Source organism: Homo sapiens, chromosome 10, assembly GCF_000001405.40.
Source record: "Homo sapiens chromosome 10, GRCh38.p14 Primary Assembly".
NCBI classification, from domain to species: domain Eukaryota; kingdom Metazoa; phylum Chordata; class Mammalia; order Primates; family Hominidae; genus Homo; species Homo sapiens.
The window spans coordinates 93,211,353-93,226,833 of NC_000010.11; the positions used below are offsets into that span (position 1 = coordinate 93,211,353).

Here is a 15,481-nt window from a genome sequence, read left to right on the forward strand (position 1 = left end):
AAAACCTATCTCTATGAAAAATACAAAATTAGCCAGGTGTGGTGGCACATGCCTGTAATCCCAGCTACTCAGGAGGCTGAGGCAGGAGAATCGCTTGAACCCAGGAGGCGGAGGTTGCAGTGAGCCGAGAGCACGCCATGGCACTCCAGCCTGGGCAACAAGAGCAAAACTCCATCTGAAATAATAATAATAATAAAAATGTTATTAGTATTAAATCTTTGGTGCAGCCTTTGGAGTCAAATAGACTTGAATTTAAATTTCAGCTTTGTAGATGAAAAGCCTTAGGCAAGTTACTTGAGTTTCGATTTGTCCATGAAGATTATAACAATATGCGTGAAGCTGGCCAGGCGCAGTGGCTCATGTCTGTAATCCCAGCACTTTGGGAGGTCGAGGCAGGTGGATCGCTTGAGCGCAGAGTTCAAGACCAGCCTGGGCAACATGGCAAAATCGTATCTCTATTAAAAAGAAAAAATTAAAGTGTAAAGCCCTTGCTGGTTGTAACGTTTCTCCACAGTTCCAGAAGGCATAAAAGGATTGTCCTGGCAGTGTCTTTCGATGCTTCCCCTCAAGCAGTGCTGTGAGTTTCCAAGTGACATTTCTGAAATCTATGAACTCTCCCTGTACCCTTGGTAGAGCAGATATGCCCTTCTCTTGACCTTGTTTGCTAGTGCTAATGCTTCCCCCACCGTCCCCTGGAACTTTGTCCCTACTGCCTGCTCACCACTACCACCGCCCCTATCACACTGCATCTGACTTGTGCTAATAAAGCCCAAATCCCCAAAGTGACACGTAGAGTCTGGGCTGTGCCCTGGCTGGCTGCCTGGTGGGCATTCCTTTGAGTAAGAAAAGGAAGCTCAGATGCCTGCCGCCTCCCCATGCCTTTGCGTCTGAGCTGGAAACATGGCCTCTGCCTGTGGAAACGTTGGCAGCAGCTCCATGGAAAGGGGCTGGGGACTGTGCCCACGGACCAGATAGGCCTGCCCTTCTTTGGCTTCTCCTTGGTACGCAGACAATGAAGTGGCCAAGCAGGTGTTGCCTGGCTTGACATTGGCTGTGACACCTGTCCACTCTCACTCTGAACTAGCAGTCAGTTGGGGCTGTGAGCAGGGCGGGAAGGGTCACACCTACGGGACCCCTCCCCACTGTCCCATGCAACGATCTCCACTATGGAAAGCCACGTGCAGCAGTGAAGTCCCTGAAATGTGACTAATGCAAGAGAAGATCACAATTGTATATTAATTCAAGTTTAATTTAAAAACCAATATTAGATAGAAGGAATGGTTCTGGTGTCCTGCAGCACTGTGGGGTAAATGTGGTTAACTGTCATTTATTGTATGTTTTCACAAAGCTAGAAGAGAGGATTTTGAATGTCCACAACACAAATAAATGATAAATATTGGAGGTGATTCATATGCTAATTACACTGATTTGGCCATTGTACACTAAATATGCATATTGAAATATGCTGTACCCATAAATGTGTACAATTATTACTTGTCAACTAAAAAGAGCGGAAAACCTAATGCTTGATTCAGTTATTGGAAAAAATTTTTAAATGTATTTGGAACAATTTAGGTATGTGGGTCATACCTTTTACAACTGCAAATTTTATGAAATCTAAAAACAGATCAGGTATTTCCAGTGAAAATTTAGCATCTTAATTGAGATGTGCTGTAAGTATAAAATACACACTGGATTTTGAAGACGTAGAAGGAAAAAAAAATGTAAAATATCTCATTATAATTTTTAAAACAGGCCGGGCCCTGTGGCTCATGCCTGTAATCTCAGCACTTTGGGAGGCCAATGAGGGGGTGGATCACCCAAGGTCGGGAGTTCGAGACCACCTGGCCAACATGGTGAAACCCCGTCTCTAATAAAAATACAAAAAATTAGCCGGGCTTGCTGGCGGGTACCTGTAATCCCAGCTACTTGGGAGGCTGAGGCAGGAGAATCCGTTGAACCTGGGAGGTGGAGGTTGCAGTGAGTCAAGATGGCACCATTGCACTCCAGCCTGGGCAACAAGAGTGAAACTCCATCTCAAAAAAACAAAAGATTTTTTAAAACACTGCTTAGTGGTTGAGATACTGATATTTTGGATATATGGGGTTAAATAAAATCTATTATCAAAATTATTTTTACCTATTTCTTGTTACTTTTCTTTTTTTTTTTTTTTTTTTGAGACAGAGTCTTGCTCTGTCACCCAGGCTGGAGTGCAGTGGCCACGATCTCGGCTCACGGCAATCTCTGCCTCCTAGGTTCAAGCGATTCTTCTGCCTCAGCCTCCCAAGTAGCTGGGACTACAGGCACGTGCCACCATGCCTGGCTAATTTTTGTATTTTTAGTAGAGACAGGATTTCACCAGGCTGGTCTCGAACTCCTGACCTCGTGATCTGCCCAAAGTGTACTTCTTGTAACTTTTTTAGGTGGTGACCAGATAATTTAAAATTATCTATGTGGCTCACATGATATTTCTATTGGAAGCACTGTTCTAGATGGGTAGAAGCCTAAGACATTAGAACTTGAAGGGCCTCAGGCATCACCTAGAGTGTCCTCTCCTTTTAGAGGTGAGGAATTTGGCACAGGAGGAGTTTAAATGACCTCCAGAGAACTGGAACCCAGACCTCTTTTCTCCCAGCCAAGGTTGCATAGAATGCAATGACAAGCCAAGTTGCGTAAGTTGAGGTAATGGATTCAAAGTACCACACATGGTTATAACAAGATGGTAGTGTCAGTAAGGTGTTTCAAACATGAGATGATATGTATTATTTTTGCCCTTCTCCAAGGAACCAGAGAATAACAGAACTAGGAAGTGTCCCTTGAGATTACGCAGAGGGTCAGATTACTTTTTCAGACATCTGCTTGCTCGGGAACCTGGATATATAAGGCCTCTTCCAGGAGGAGGACGCCTGCTCCCATAAGGAATTGTTCTTCTCTTTGCTCCTGGCAATTCAGGGAAGCAGGCTCAGGGCTGATAGGTCATCTAGTGTTTTGGGCTGAGTGTCTCCTCTGCTTCTTTCCTGGTCTCCCTCCCTTTTGTCCTTTCCAGCTTCTCCCAATCTTTGGGGGGACAAGGCATCTTGCTTGTGTGTCTGGCTGTACCCCCGGGGGTGTGGCTGCGCATCTGAGTGCGAGCTGAGTATGGAGTGGTAGTGGCTGTGGGCTATGAAGGCTGTGGGGTGGGGGGGCCTTCCTAGTGCCTGGGTGAGTGGGGAGTGGACAGGAGTGGAGGGGTGCTTTTAAACAAGTCCTGTAGACCAGTGGAGAATTGGGGAGTTGAGACTATAGTGTGAGGCTGTCTACCCAGGTGGAAGTGGCTATGGGCAGTTGTGCGTATAGCAGTGTGCCTGCAGTTATGTGCGCTTGTAGAGTATGGTGTTGTGTGGCCATTTTACATCAGAACACAGCGTTTCCTGTCGACACCTAAAGCATTGCAAGAAATTGCAATTAGATCACTATCACCTAGTAATTTCCCTTCCCTTTCCTTCCCTTCTTCCTTCCTCACTTCCCCCTCTTTCCCTCCTTCTCCTGTCCCTTCTTTTCCTCTCTGTATTCCATTTCAAGCTTACAGAACTCTTGCTGGGAGCCAGGCACTATATTGGGATTATTTGTCTCTTGTCTTTTCTCCCCATCAACACACCCCTCAAAGTCTCAGTGTGACTGACCTCCATTTTAGTGCTGTGATTATGACAGCTTCAGATTTAGTGCTGTGATTACGATATGTCGGGATTGGGTCTCACTCAGTAACTGGTGGAGGCTGGTACTGTGTTCCCTCAATAAGTCCTGGTTGATGTAAACTTGCTGCAGTCCCTCCTCTCCAAGAAGAAAGGGAGTGTGGGAATGAGCTGGGGGAATCTGTGACTAAGTGGCTTGTTTTGTTGGTGACAGGGGTACCTGACCAAGCAGGTGATTCGAGTCTGATATCCTGTGTTCCTTCTGTATCCTCTCCTGGAAGGTCCATCCTAGACCCTGGAGATGTAACCAGGTATGCAACACCTCAGTCGTGGTCAGCACAGTGTGTGGCCTGGGCTGGCTCTGAGATGCTGGGGCTTGCCTTTGTGGTCACCACAGCCTTTCCCCCTGGCAGAGGCCTGAACTGCCTGGCTGCCTGCAATAGTCTCAGGGCCTCAGGACCCACCTACAGAGCCTAGCCCCCGAAGGGTATCACAGGATCTGTCAGAGGTGCCTGGTCCTCCATCAGGGCCAGCGGCCATGGGATCATTTCTCTTCCCTCAGGCTGCTGTTGGCTAAGTGGCCCATTGTCACCCTGGCCCTGGCTCTGTGGGAAGGGGTTCTGGGTGCCCATGTGTCTCAGAACCCAGTGACTACCACATGACACACTGAGCCCTGGTTTGTCCTTCCAGGCCTGTGCTCAGCCAGACTCATTGTCCAAACCTGGGACCTCACTGGCACGGCTGCTGTGGTGCTCACGAATGGGTTTGAAAAGCAAGGGGACTTGCTGTCTTCAAAAAAGACTCTTTGGAAACCTAGAGCCTGACTCCTGTTTGCTTCATCTTTTTGCTCAACCCCATTTTCATACAGCAAATTAGGGAGAGATAAGGGAATGTCATGGAATTTGAAATGTCAAGAGACACGGGTGCTTTGGAGATCTGCAATGCCACCTGGCCCCATCACTAACTCTTTTTTGTGCAGTTTCTGAACTTCTCCAGGCCTCAGGTTTTCAAATCTGTCAAATGAGAACATCTAATCAATCAGTGGATAGGTGTGTTATTTAGGTGAAATGAACTAGCCAATGAGAATATAGTTTGCAAAAGAACAAAAGGAAGGAAAAAAGCAAATGGTTATTTGGCACTTATGGTATACTTCATAGACTGCATCTCAGTTTAGACTTTGGCTCTGGAGATCGACAGACTTCCTGACTCCACCAGCCATTTATTTTATTTTATTTTATTTTTTTATTTTTGTTACCAGAGGTGGGGTTTCACCATGTTGGTCAGGCTGGTCTCCAACTCCTGACTTCAAGTGATCTGCCTGCCTTGGCCTCCCAAAATGCTGGGATTACAGCGTGAGCCACTGCTCCCGGCCCCCACCAACCTCTTTTCCTCAGACTCTGTGTCTTATGTTTTCTCTTCTCAGGGCTTGACCTCACTGATTCCCAAGCAATATCCTAACCATGCAATAAACATGTGAGCTAAACTGTCAGTAGTGTGTAGACAACAACTAAGAATCAGAGTCCTGGCCTCCAGTTAGAGCCATGCCACTCCTGTGTGATTTGGACAAGGCATTCAAACCCTCAGGGCTTTCTGATCACAAACATGTCCCTGAGTCTGCAAGCCCTCAGACACAAAACCAGATGCCTTAACTTGGCATTCATCATCTCTATATTCTGGCCTCAATTGTCCTTTTCCATCCTTAAATTCCTTTTTCCACCTGCCCTGGACTCCCTTGGTGCTCCTACAGCCCTGCACTTCCCCTGCACATACACGGGCTCTCGCTGCCCTCCCTTCATGAATGCAGGACACCCAAGATGCCTGCAGCAGTGCCTCCTCCACAGTACCTGCTCTGTGCATGGCAGTGTTTGACATTTCTGCCCAGACTGCCCACTGCTGGTTTTCAATGCCTACCTCATCCACTCAGCATTACCACGAAGTACTCTAGCCAAAAATATTAAAGTGGATTCTAACAATCAGATTAATCTAGACTGTGGGACATTGTACAAGAAAATTGGTCCAGATCCTTCAAAGACATCAATAGCAGGGCAGAGCATAAACAAAAATGTGGGGAAGACTGTTCTAGATTTATGGGGAAACTCTAGACTGTTCTAGACTAGATTGACAATGAAATGCAACATGTGATCCTTGAGTGGTTCCCAGATTTTAAAAAATAGGTATAAAGAATATTACTGGGACAATTAGAAAAATTTGGTTGTGGACTGTGTGGTCCATGGTCTACTAGGACTGCCATAACAAAATACCTGAGACAGGGTAGCTTAAACAGCAGAAATGTATTTTCTCACAGTTCTTGAGGCTAGAAGTCCAAGATCAAAGTGTCAGCAGTTTGGTTTCATCTGAGGCCTCTCTCCTCTCACCTTTTCACTGAGTCTTCACATGATCTTCCCTCAATGCCTGCACACATCTGTGTCCTAATTTCCTCTTTTTTTTTTTTTTTCTTTTTTTTTGAGACAGAGTTTCACTCTGTTGCCCAGGCCGGAGTGCAGTGGCATGAACTTGGCTTACTGCAACCTCCGCCTCCCAGGTTCAAGTGATTCTCCTGCCTCAGCCTCCTAAGTAGCTGGGATTACAGGTGTGTGTCACCACTCCCAAGTAATTTTTGTGTTTTTAGTAGAGACGAGGTTTTACCATGTTGGCCAGGCTAGTCTTGAACTCCTAACCTCAAGTGATCAACCTGCCTTGGCCTCCCAAAGTGCTGGGATTACAGGCGTGAGCCACTGCACCCAGTCTAATTTCCTCTTCTTATAAGGACACTAGTCATTTTGGATTAGGGCCACCCATGTGACCTCATTTAACCTTAATTACATTCTTTAAAAAGCCCTATCTTCAAGTATAGTCACAATCTGAGGTACTAGGGGTTGGGACTTCAACATATAATTGTTAGGGTAGACATAGTTGAGCCCATAACAGTCTGAATATCGATGCAACTAGTATGTTAATCTGAAATTAATTGGACAAGACACTGTGGTTCTAGAGAAAGTCCTTGTTCTTAGCATATGTATGCTGAAATATTTAGGGGTAAAGAGTCATGATGTCTGCAACTTTCTCTCAAATGGTGCAGAAAAAAATTAAGAGAGAACAAATGTGACAAAATAGTAAATGGTAAATCTAGATAATGGGTATAAGATATTCCTTGTAATATTCTTGCAACTTTTCTATGGATTTGAAATTTTCAAAATAAAAAAGTTGGAAGGAAGGAATTTTTTCTCATCCTCAAGGCCCCTGACCGTCAAAAATATGATTCCATGTCCCCCTATTATGTGCTCAAGAGTGACTGTTCTTTTCTGCCTTAGCACTCATCTCTGTTTATTTTGTATTGGGATTTTGTTTGACCACCATCTGTCTGTCTAAGCTACACAAAGACAGATATTGGCCTGCTTGGCTCATGTCTGCACCCCAGCAGCTGGTACAAGGCCTGGCACTCAATGATATTGAATTGAATCAATGAATGAATGAATATTGTCATGGTTTGAATATTTGTCTCCTCCAAAACTCATGTTGAAATTTAATCTCCTGCAAACCTACAGCCATCTGACCTTTGACAAAGTTGACAAAAACAATCAATGGGGAAAGAGCTCCCTATTCAATAAATGATGCTGGGATAACTGGCTAACTATATGCAGAAGAATGAAACTGAACCCTACTTCTCACCATACACAAAAAGTAACTCAAGATGAATTAAATATTTAAATGTAAGACCTCAAACTATTTAGAATCCTAAAAGAAAATCTAGGAAACATCATTCTGGATATTGGCATTGGGAAAGAATTTATGACTAAGTCCACAAAGGCAACTGCAACAAAAACAAAAGTTGGCAAGTGGGACCTAATTAAACTAAAGAACTTCTGCACAGCAAAGACACTATCAACAGAGTCAACAGACAACCTACAGAATGCATGAAAATATTTGCAAACTATACATTTGGCAAAGATCTAAGATCCAGAATCTATAAGGAGCTTAAACAATTCAACAAACAAAGCACAAATAACCCCATTAAAAAGTAGGCAAGGCTGAGCACAGTGGCTCATGCCTGTAATCCCAACACTTTGGAGAGCTGACGTGGAAGACTCCTTGAGGCCAGGAGTTGAAGACTGCTTGAGTCCAGGAGTTTAAGACCAGCCTTGGCAACATAGCAAGACTCTGCCTCTTCAAAAATATAAGAATTAGCTAGATGTGGTGGCACACAACTGTAATCCCAGCTACTCAGGAGGCTGAGGCGGGAGGATCCCTTGAGGTCGAGAGTTTGAGGCTACAGTGAGCCATACTTGCACCACTGAACTCCAGTGACAGAGCAAGATCCCATCTATAGGAAAAAGAAAAAGTGGACAAAAGGTGTGAACAGACACTTCTCAAAAGAGGACATACAAGTAGCCAAACAATCATGAAAAAATGCTCAACATCAGTAATTATCAGAAAAATGCAATCAAAACCATCTGAGTGGTTACCATCTGAGAGATACCACCGCATAGTAGTCAGAATGGCTATCACTGAAAAGTAAACACACACACACACACACACAAACATGCTGGTGAGGCTGCAGAGAAAAGAGAATGTTTATACACTGTTGGTGGGAATGTAAATCAGTTAAGCCACCATGGAAAACAGTTTGGAGATTTCTCAAAGAACTTAGAACTACCATTTGAACCAGCATTCTCATTACTGGTATCTATCCAAAATAAAATAAATTATTCTATCAAAAAGACACATACATTTGTAAGTTCATTGCAGCACTATTCACTATAGCAAAGACATGGAATCAACTTATGTGTCCATCAACAGTGGATTGGATGAAGAAAATGTGGTACATATATACCATGGAATGCTACGCAGCTACAATAAAGAAGAAAATCATGTCCTTTGCAGCAACATGGATACAGCTGGAAGCTATTATCCTAAGTGAAATAATGCAGGAACAGAAAATCAAATGCTGTGTGTTCTCACTTATAAGTGGGCACCAAATGCTGGGCACTCAGAGACACAAAGATGAGAAAAATAGACACTGGGAACTACTAAATGGGGGAGGGACAGAGAGTGCAGAGATTGAAAAACTACCTATTGTGCACTGTGCTCACTAGCTGGGTGACGGGATCAATCATACCCCAAACCTCTGCATCATGAGCTATACCCATATAACAAACCTGCACAGGTACCCCTGACTCTAAAATAGAAGTTGAACTTAAAAGACACACACACACTTACTCTAAAATAGAAGTTGAACTTAAAAGACACACAGACACACACACAAATACACACACACACACACACACACACACACGAGAGAGAGAGAGAAAGAGAGAGAAAGAGAGAGAGAGAGAAATTTAATCTCCAGTGTGGCAATATTGAGAGGTGAGGCCTTTAAGAGGTGATTGGGTCACGAGGGCTCCTGTCATAATCCATTCGTGGGTTAATGACTTAATGGGTTATCATGGGAGCGGGACTGGTAGCTTCATTAGAAGCGGAAGTCCTGAGCCGGGACTAGCCTGCCCAGCCGCCTCGCCACGTGATTCCTGTGCAGTCTCAGGACCCTGCAGGGTCCCCACCAGCAGGAAGGTCCTCGCACAAGCAGCCCCTCCACCCCTGATTTCTAAGCCTGCATAACTATTAGGAATAAATTTCTTTTCTTTACAAATTACCTAGTTTCAGGTATTCTGTTATAAGCAACAGAAAAGGGACTAAGACAAACATAGATGGGGCCAATCAAGGACAGACCAGAAACATCCGGGGTTGGGGGGAGGAGTCTAGATCCCAGACGGTTTCCTGGAAGTTCATGAATGTCAGAGTGTGCCGCTCTCCGACCTTTGCTTCTTTGCCTCCTTTATTTCTTCTCCTCCTCCAGTCCTTTCCTCTCTCTCTCTAGCCCCTCTGCTCCCTCCTTTCTTTCCCCCGGCCCGTTGCTATTGAATTCCTGGCCGTCAATGAGGTCCTGGGCTCGGGGGGCCAGGCTGGGGCTCCCCGGAATTCCAGATCCTCGCAAGGAAGTGAGGGCGGCGGCGCGGGGTGGGCCCGGCTCCATCAGGGGCGCAGAGGCCGCGGGACGCGGAGAGCAGGCAGGCGCCGCCAGGGGACGCCTTACAGCCTGTCCTAAGCTTTTATTTTCTGGGATGAGGTCTCTTCTTCCAAGGGCTTCTATTTCCTCTCCCGCAAAACAGAAAGCTTCTCCTCCCGAGGTACTTGAGCATCCCCTCCAAGCGCAGCCCGTATTCCTCTCGCCTGCCCAGGCGGCCAGTCAAGGACACCCGATGTGCTGGGTGGCCAGGCGGCTCCCTCGGAGCCCAGGGATCGCGATGGGCTCCACCTGGGGAGGCGAACAACCCGGGGTTCAGAGCTGCCCCAACCCTCGACAGCCACAGCCTCAGGCAAGCAGCGGCCGCTCTCCCTGGCCTCAGTTTACCCATTCGTGAAATGAGGCAATGGGATTCCATCGGGTACTCAGGTTGGGAGTGGTGGTGATGGAGAGACGTGCCACCCTCTGAAAGGAAGCTAAATTTGGGTGTGTGGGGGGGATAGTTTTGATTAGAGATCACCCATAGCTATCAAGGATTTTTAAAGGGGGCTCTAACCAGAGCCCGTCCCTCCTCCCAGTCCCTAGCACTGCCACAAGTCTGGGAAGTCTCTGTTGTTCCAGCTTTGAAGGTAGGTCCTTTCCCACCTAGAAGACAGAGCTGCTACCTACCCTCTGGCCGGCTGCACAAAGGCACCCAGCCCAGGGCGAGATCATCCTCACCAGCCAAACCATGACGAGCCCTGGCATAGACCTATATTTCCCTGGAGAAAAGGATGTCCTTTCAAAAAGTGCACAAAGGCTCTGCTTGGCCTGGCAGTTTCCTTAGGAGGAGTCACCATTAAATCGCTGCTTATGGCTTGATGGCCTGGTCCTTCCAAGGTAAGATGACTAGACTTGTCTTGAGCCAGATTGAAGGTGGTTACACTATCACCTCAGCTGGAAGAACTGCAGAAATACTCTAGAACTCCCAATTATAGCTCAAATCTATTTACTCTTCTCCAACCGCCCTCATACTGGCTTGGACTACAGCAGCAGCCTCTTAGATATCTCCCTGCTTCCCCTCTCGTCCTCCCACAGCAGCCAGGGCGTGTTTTTAACACACAAATCAGCCCATATCACACATTCCCACTTAAAGCCCTTCTGTGCTCCTTTGAACCCTCTCTTCCCATGGCACTTTGGATAAACCCTGTAATGCCTTTTATCATCATGCAAATCTCAACTCAAAAGTTACCTCCTCAGAGAGGCTTTCCCTGACCAGCCCATCTAATAAGCTCCCCCCAACCTGCTTGTCATCAGTTTTATCTCCAAGATTTGTAGTCATTTATGTATGTGCTTCCTGGTTTCCTGTCCATCCCCCTGCTAAGCTAAATACCACATGAGTATAGAACTTTTTGGGCTTTGGTTCAAGGCTTAACTCCTGTGACCAGCAGGGATGTGGGAAGTACTGGATCAACTTTCATGACTGGATGTAACAACCAGTAGATAATTTTCTTGTGCCCTTTCCCTGCCCTATCAGTTTTGGAGCTGAACAAACTGAAGCCCAGGATAAAGTGTGAGATGTGTGGAATAAACTGTTTGAGGTCAACCTGTCGGTGGTGGAGCCAGCACTGGAGCCTGCCCACTGACTCTCAGTCCCAGGCTGCCCTGCCAGTGAAATGACCAGCTCACAAGTATGTCTGATGCTTTTGAAGTGCCCTGAGCTATGGGTGACTTTCAGATGTTCCCATTCCCCCAAGAGGACACAATCTGATGCCACATCTCAAGCCTCTGACTTTCCTCTGAACTCGAATCTTTTAGAGAAAAGAGCTAGGAGAACATAACCACTGGGCATCAAGATCTAACTTTTTGCCAATGCCACACTGAACTCAGGCCCAATCTACTTTCTCTAGCAGAAGATCCTAAAAAAAAATAAACACTTTTCAAAGAAACTTTCAATCAAAATAATATTTGAACACAGTTTTAAAAGTCAAATATTGCTAACAAGCTTACAATTACAACAAACAAAAAAGGCCAGGGGTGGTGGCTCATGCTTGGGAGCCCAGCATTTTTGGAGGCTGAGGTGGGAGGATTGCTTGACCACAGAAGCTGGAGACCAGCATGGGCAATATAATGAGACTCCATCTCCACACACATTCAATCAATCAATCAATCAATCAAAGCAACACACAGTTAATCTTGTTTAATGCTGAGCCAAGTAGTGTACTATCATGACATTTATTTTCTTGTATAACTTTTTAGTTTCCTGAGGCTAATTATTGCTCTTTTTCTTTTCTTTGCTAAGATTTCTTTGAACCTTAAGCTAAATCTTCCCATGTCCTCTGATACACCAAAAGTGTTTCTCAGCATAGTTTTTCCCATTAGTAAATCTGTTTGCAAGTCCTCAATGCCATATTTTCGCAGAGATGGTGCTTCTGGAACCTTGCTTCCTCTCACTCTTCTCTCAGACCTGTGGCTCTCTGGGCCTCCTGGTCATGGTTAAGGAAACCGGGAAAGCTCAGAAGCTAGTGCCAGCCACAGCTCCACCATACCTTGAGCCTCTGGCTCCACACCTGTGCTCAGTCACCTTCCCTTATGTGTCTCCTGAAGAATGATGCCAACGTTTCACTGTCTGTGAAAAAGCAAGTATAGGGTAGAGGGAGGAGCTGTGATATTATCATACTTTGCCTGGGCCCCACCAATGCTTCAATTTGACACTGCAATTGAATGGAATAGCTTACAGAGAATATTGTGAGATTTTGGCCAGGTTGTTGTTGAAGTGCATTTTAGGGTGCCCTGAATTTACTTAGGCCTTCAAGTTTTATGGTAACTCAAAAAGAATAAATTAATTAGGAGAAAACAGAATCCTCCAAGCATCACCCAAATCTTGTTATTCCATTCAGAGGCACCCTTATGAGTGGTCAGGGTCATGATCTGAAGTGAGTTCTGAAGAGCTGCTGCCCCTCAATGTCACCTGTACTGGTATTTGGAAAAGGCCACCCAGATTTCCATCATTATTGCTCCAACATCAATTGCCTTTAGATCTGTTGTTGGAACTTACGTTTCTCTTGGAGGGATCACACTTTAAATGACATCTAGGTTTTTACTTTAGGGGGAATGTGTATTAACCACTTTCTAGAGAACAGATGGGGTAGAGGGCTCTTCCAGTAGATGGAGCTCTCCCATGAAACTGCAGCCCACCATGGTGTACAGAGTGGATGCTGGGCCCTCCACTAGTGGGCTCGTCAATGGGAGGGCAGTACCAAGGTGGTCGGAGAATTGGCACACCTGTATAAACAGCAGGCCCTCGGCACCTGTTTATCCTCATCCCTCACCTGGATTTCAACTCCCAAGTCAGATGTGGGGCTTTCTGTCTTCCTTTGTGCCATGACAGCATAAAACAGACATCAGAAAGGATGAACTCAGCTCTCCTTTTTCCTTGTCCATGGCATGACCCATGAAAGTGAAGATCCTAGTTTCAGCTAACTTGCACCCAGAAGAATCAGGAGAAAGGCTTATCTTGTTGACACAAAGACACCAGCACCACCCGATGGCACCTTGATCACACAGACTCTGTCCTGACACCCACAGTAGCTGCTGAGGTCTCTCTGGCTAGGAATAGAGGCTTGGCCAATTTCTGGAATTGTGGAGCATTAGAGCTTGCTGAGGGTCTCCCAGCTGTCTGACTAGACCAGACAGGAGGGCAAATCCTCCAATTCAAACTCACCCCCTCTATAAAGAGGAGAATTCAGGGAAGGGTTAGCCAAGACTGATACAGTTTGGGCTTTGCAGGACACTGCATGGTCCCCATTCTATGCAGATGCCAGTTTTTCTGTCTGGTTTTCTTTCTCTCTCCTCTGGCTTTCTTTCTCTCTCTCTCTCTCTTTTTTTTTTTTTTTTAAGAGAGTCTCACTCTGTCACCAAGGCTGGAGTGCAGTGGCACAATCTTGCCTCACTGTAACCTCTGCCTCCTGGGTTCAAGCAATTCTCCTGCCTCAGCCTCCGGAGTAGTTGGTACTACAGGTGTGTGCCACCACACCCGGCTAATTTTTTGTATTTTTAGTGGAGGTGGGGTTTCACCGTGTTAGCCAGGATGGTCTCGATCTCCTGACCTCGTGATCTGCCCGCCTCGGCCTCCCAAAGTGCTGGGATTACAGGCATCAGCCATCACGCCAAGCCTCTCTCTCTCTTTTAATTCCTACCTCATCTCCCTTTGTTTCTGTCTGTGGTGTTCTCCATACACAACTTTCTTTTCATAAATCAAGGAAGCATTAAAACAATGAGACAGGCCAGGCACAGTGGCTCACCCCTGTAATCCCAGCACTTTGGGAGGCTGAGGCAGGTGAATCACGAGGTCAGGAGTTCAAGACCAGCCTGGCCAAGATGGTGAAACCCTGTCTCTACTAAAAATACAAAAATTAGCCGGGCGTGGTGGTGGGCTCCTGTAATCCCAGCTACTCAGGAGGCTGAGGCAGGAGAATCACTTGAACCTGGGCAGCAGAGGTTGCAGTGAGCTGAGATCATGCCACTGCACTCCAGCCTGGGCGATAGAGTGAGACTCCATCTCAAAAAAAAAAAAAAAAAAAAAAAAAAAAAAAAAAAAAAAAAATGAGACAAACCTAGATCCTTAACATTCTGAACTTTGCTTGACATTAGCTCTGCACATATGTGTGTGCTCATTTTCTGATAGTTTTGATGCAGGATTTTTCTTGGCCCCTTCGACGGACTCACGACAGGCGTGCCCTGTTTACTCAGCCCACCAAAGTCAACCCTTTGCAGGAGGGAGTACATGAGTGAGCAAGTGTGGGATCCATTCGGTTGCTCTGGGCACCAGCTGCTCCAGGCACCAGCAGAAGCAAGCTTCATGCAGGGCCTGTGACCAGACCAGGCATGAGTGAAAAAGTGCAGGATCCAGCTGGCCATTCCAGATGCTGGCAGGAGCAAGCTTCATGTAGGGCCCATGGCGATACCCAGGTGGGGGTGCCTGCTACCCTGGTGCCCCAGAGGGAGTGTTACAGTGCTCTCTTAGCTCTGCTGTCCGTGGTCAGCTGCGTGTTAGCAGCTCAGTTGGCTCCTTGCCTTGTCACATGGGGCGACTGCCCTCTGCCAGTGAGGGCAAAGGGCTAGTGTGACAGACTCTCTGGATACCTACACTCGGTGGGTCCCGATCTCTTGTCTGGTGTCCAGGAAAAATGAGGTCATGGGGATGAATTGAAGGATGGTGAAGGTAGAGAATTTTATTGAGCAGAGAGGGGAGCTGGAAAGGGGACAGGAAGGACAGGTAGCCTTACCTGAAGTCAGGCTGCCTCTCTCAAGTCAAGCCATCTCTCCTCGCTCCCTATTGAGTCTGGGGTCTTTATAGGCACAGGATGGTGGGGGGGTGGGGTGGGTTATAGGTAGTTTTGGAAAAGACAACATTTGATTGGTTAAAAGGCACTATTCAGAAAGAACCAATAGGGAGAGAACGGGCAAACAGAAATAGAAGTTCTCACTTTCGGTGGTGGGTTTCAGGCTTTTTGGCTTGAAGGTGGGACAGGACCTGCCTCTGTCTGCCTAGAATTTCTCTGCCTCCTGCCTCTATCCTGCCTCTTAGTTTCATGTCATGTGGAAGAGGAAGGGTCCTGGTCTGGATGTGGGTTCTGCTCCCCATCAGTGACTAAAAGCATGAGTTTGCCCTGAATTCGCAACATAGATCATTGCCTTCTAGGTTCTATCAGTGACTATGACCTTGAGCTTGTCCTCAATATTTATTAAAAGCTTAGTGGAATATAACCGTAGGTCAATTTGATAATATAACCACACAGAGGAAAAC

General features: G+C 46.2%; 3 annotated features.

The window, feature by feature from the left end:
• Positions 440-967: an enhancer, noted in NCBI's record as "H3K27ac-H3K4me1 hESC enhancer chr10:94971549-94972076 (GRCh37/hg19 assembly coordinates)". NCBI's record gives its function as "activates a minimal SCP1, AML or CMV promoter by ChIP-STARR-seq in naive H9 embryonic stem cells {active_cell/tissue: H9 hESC(naive)}" and the evidence as "EXISTENCE:reporter gene assay evidence [ECO:0000049][PMID:30033119]".
• Positions 968-1,493: an enhancer, noted in NCBI's record as "H3K27ac-H3K4me1 hESC enhancer chr10:94972077-94972602 (GRCh37/hg19 assembly coordinates)". NCBI's record gives its function as "activates a minimal SCP1, AML or CMV promoter by ChIP-STARR-seq in naive H9 embryonic stem cells {active_cell/tissue: H9 hESC(naive)}" and the evidence as "EXISTENCE:reporter gene assay evidence [ECO:0000049][PMID:30033119]".
• Positions 9,640-9,934: an enhancer, noted in NCBI's record as "tiled region #9432; HepG2 Activating non-DNase unmatched - State 23:Low". NCBI's record gives its function as "activates a minimal TATA promoter and a strong SV40 promoter by Sharpr-MPRA in HepG2 cells {active_cell/tissue: HepG2}" and the evidence as "EXISTENCE:reporter gene assay evidence [ECO:0000049][PMID:27701403]".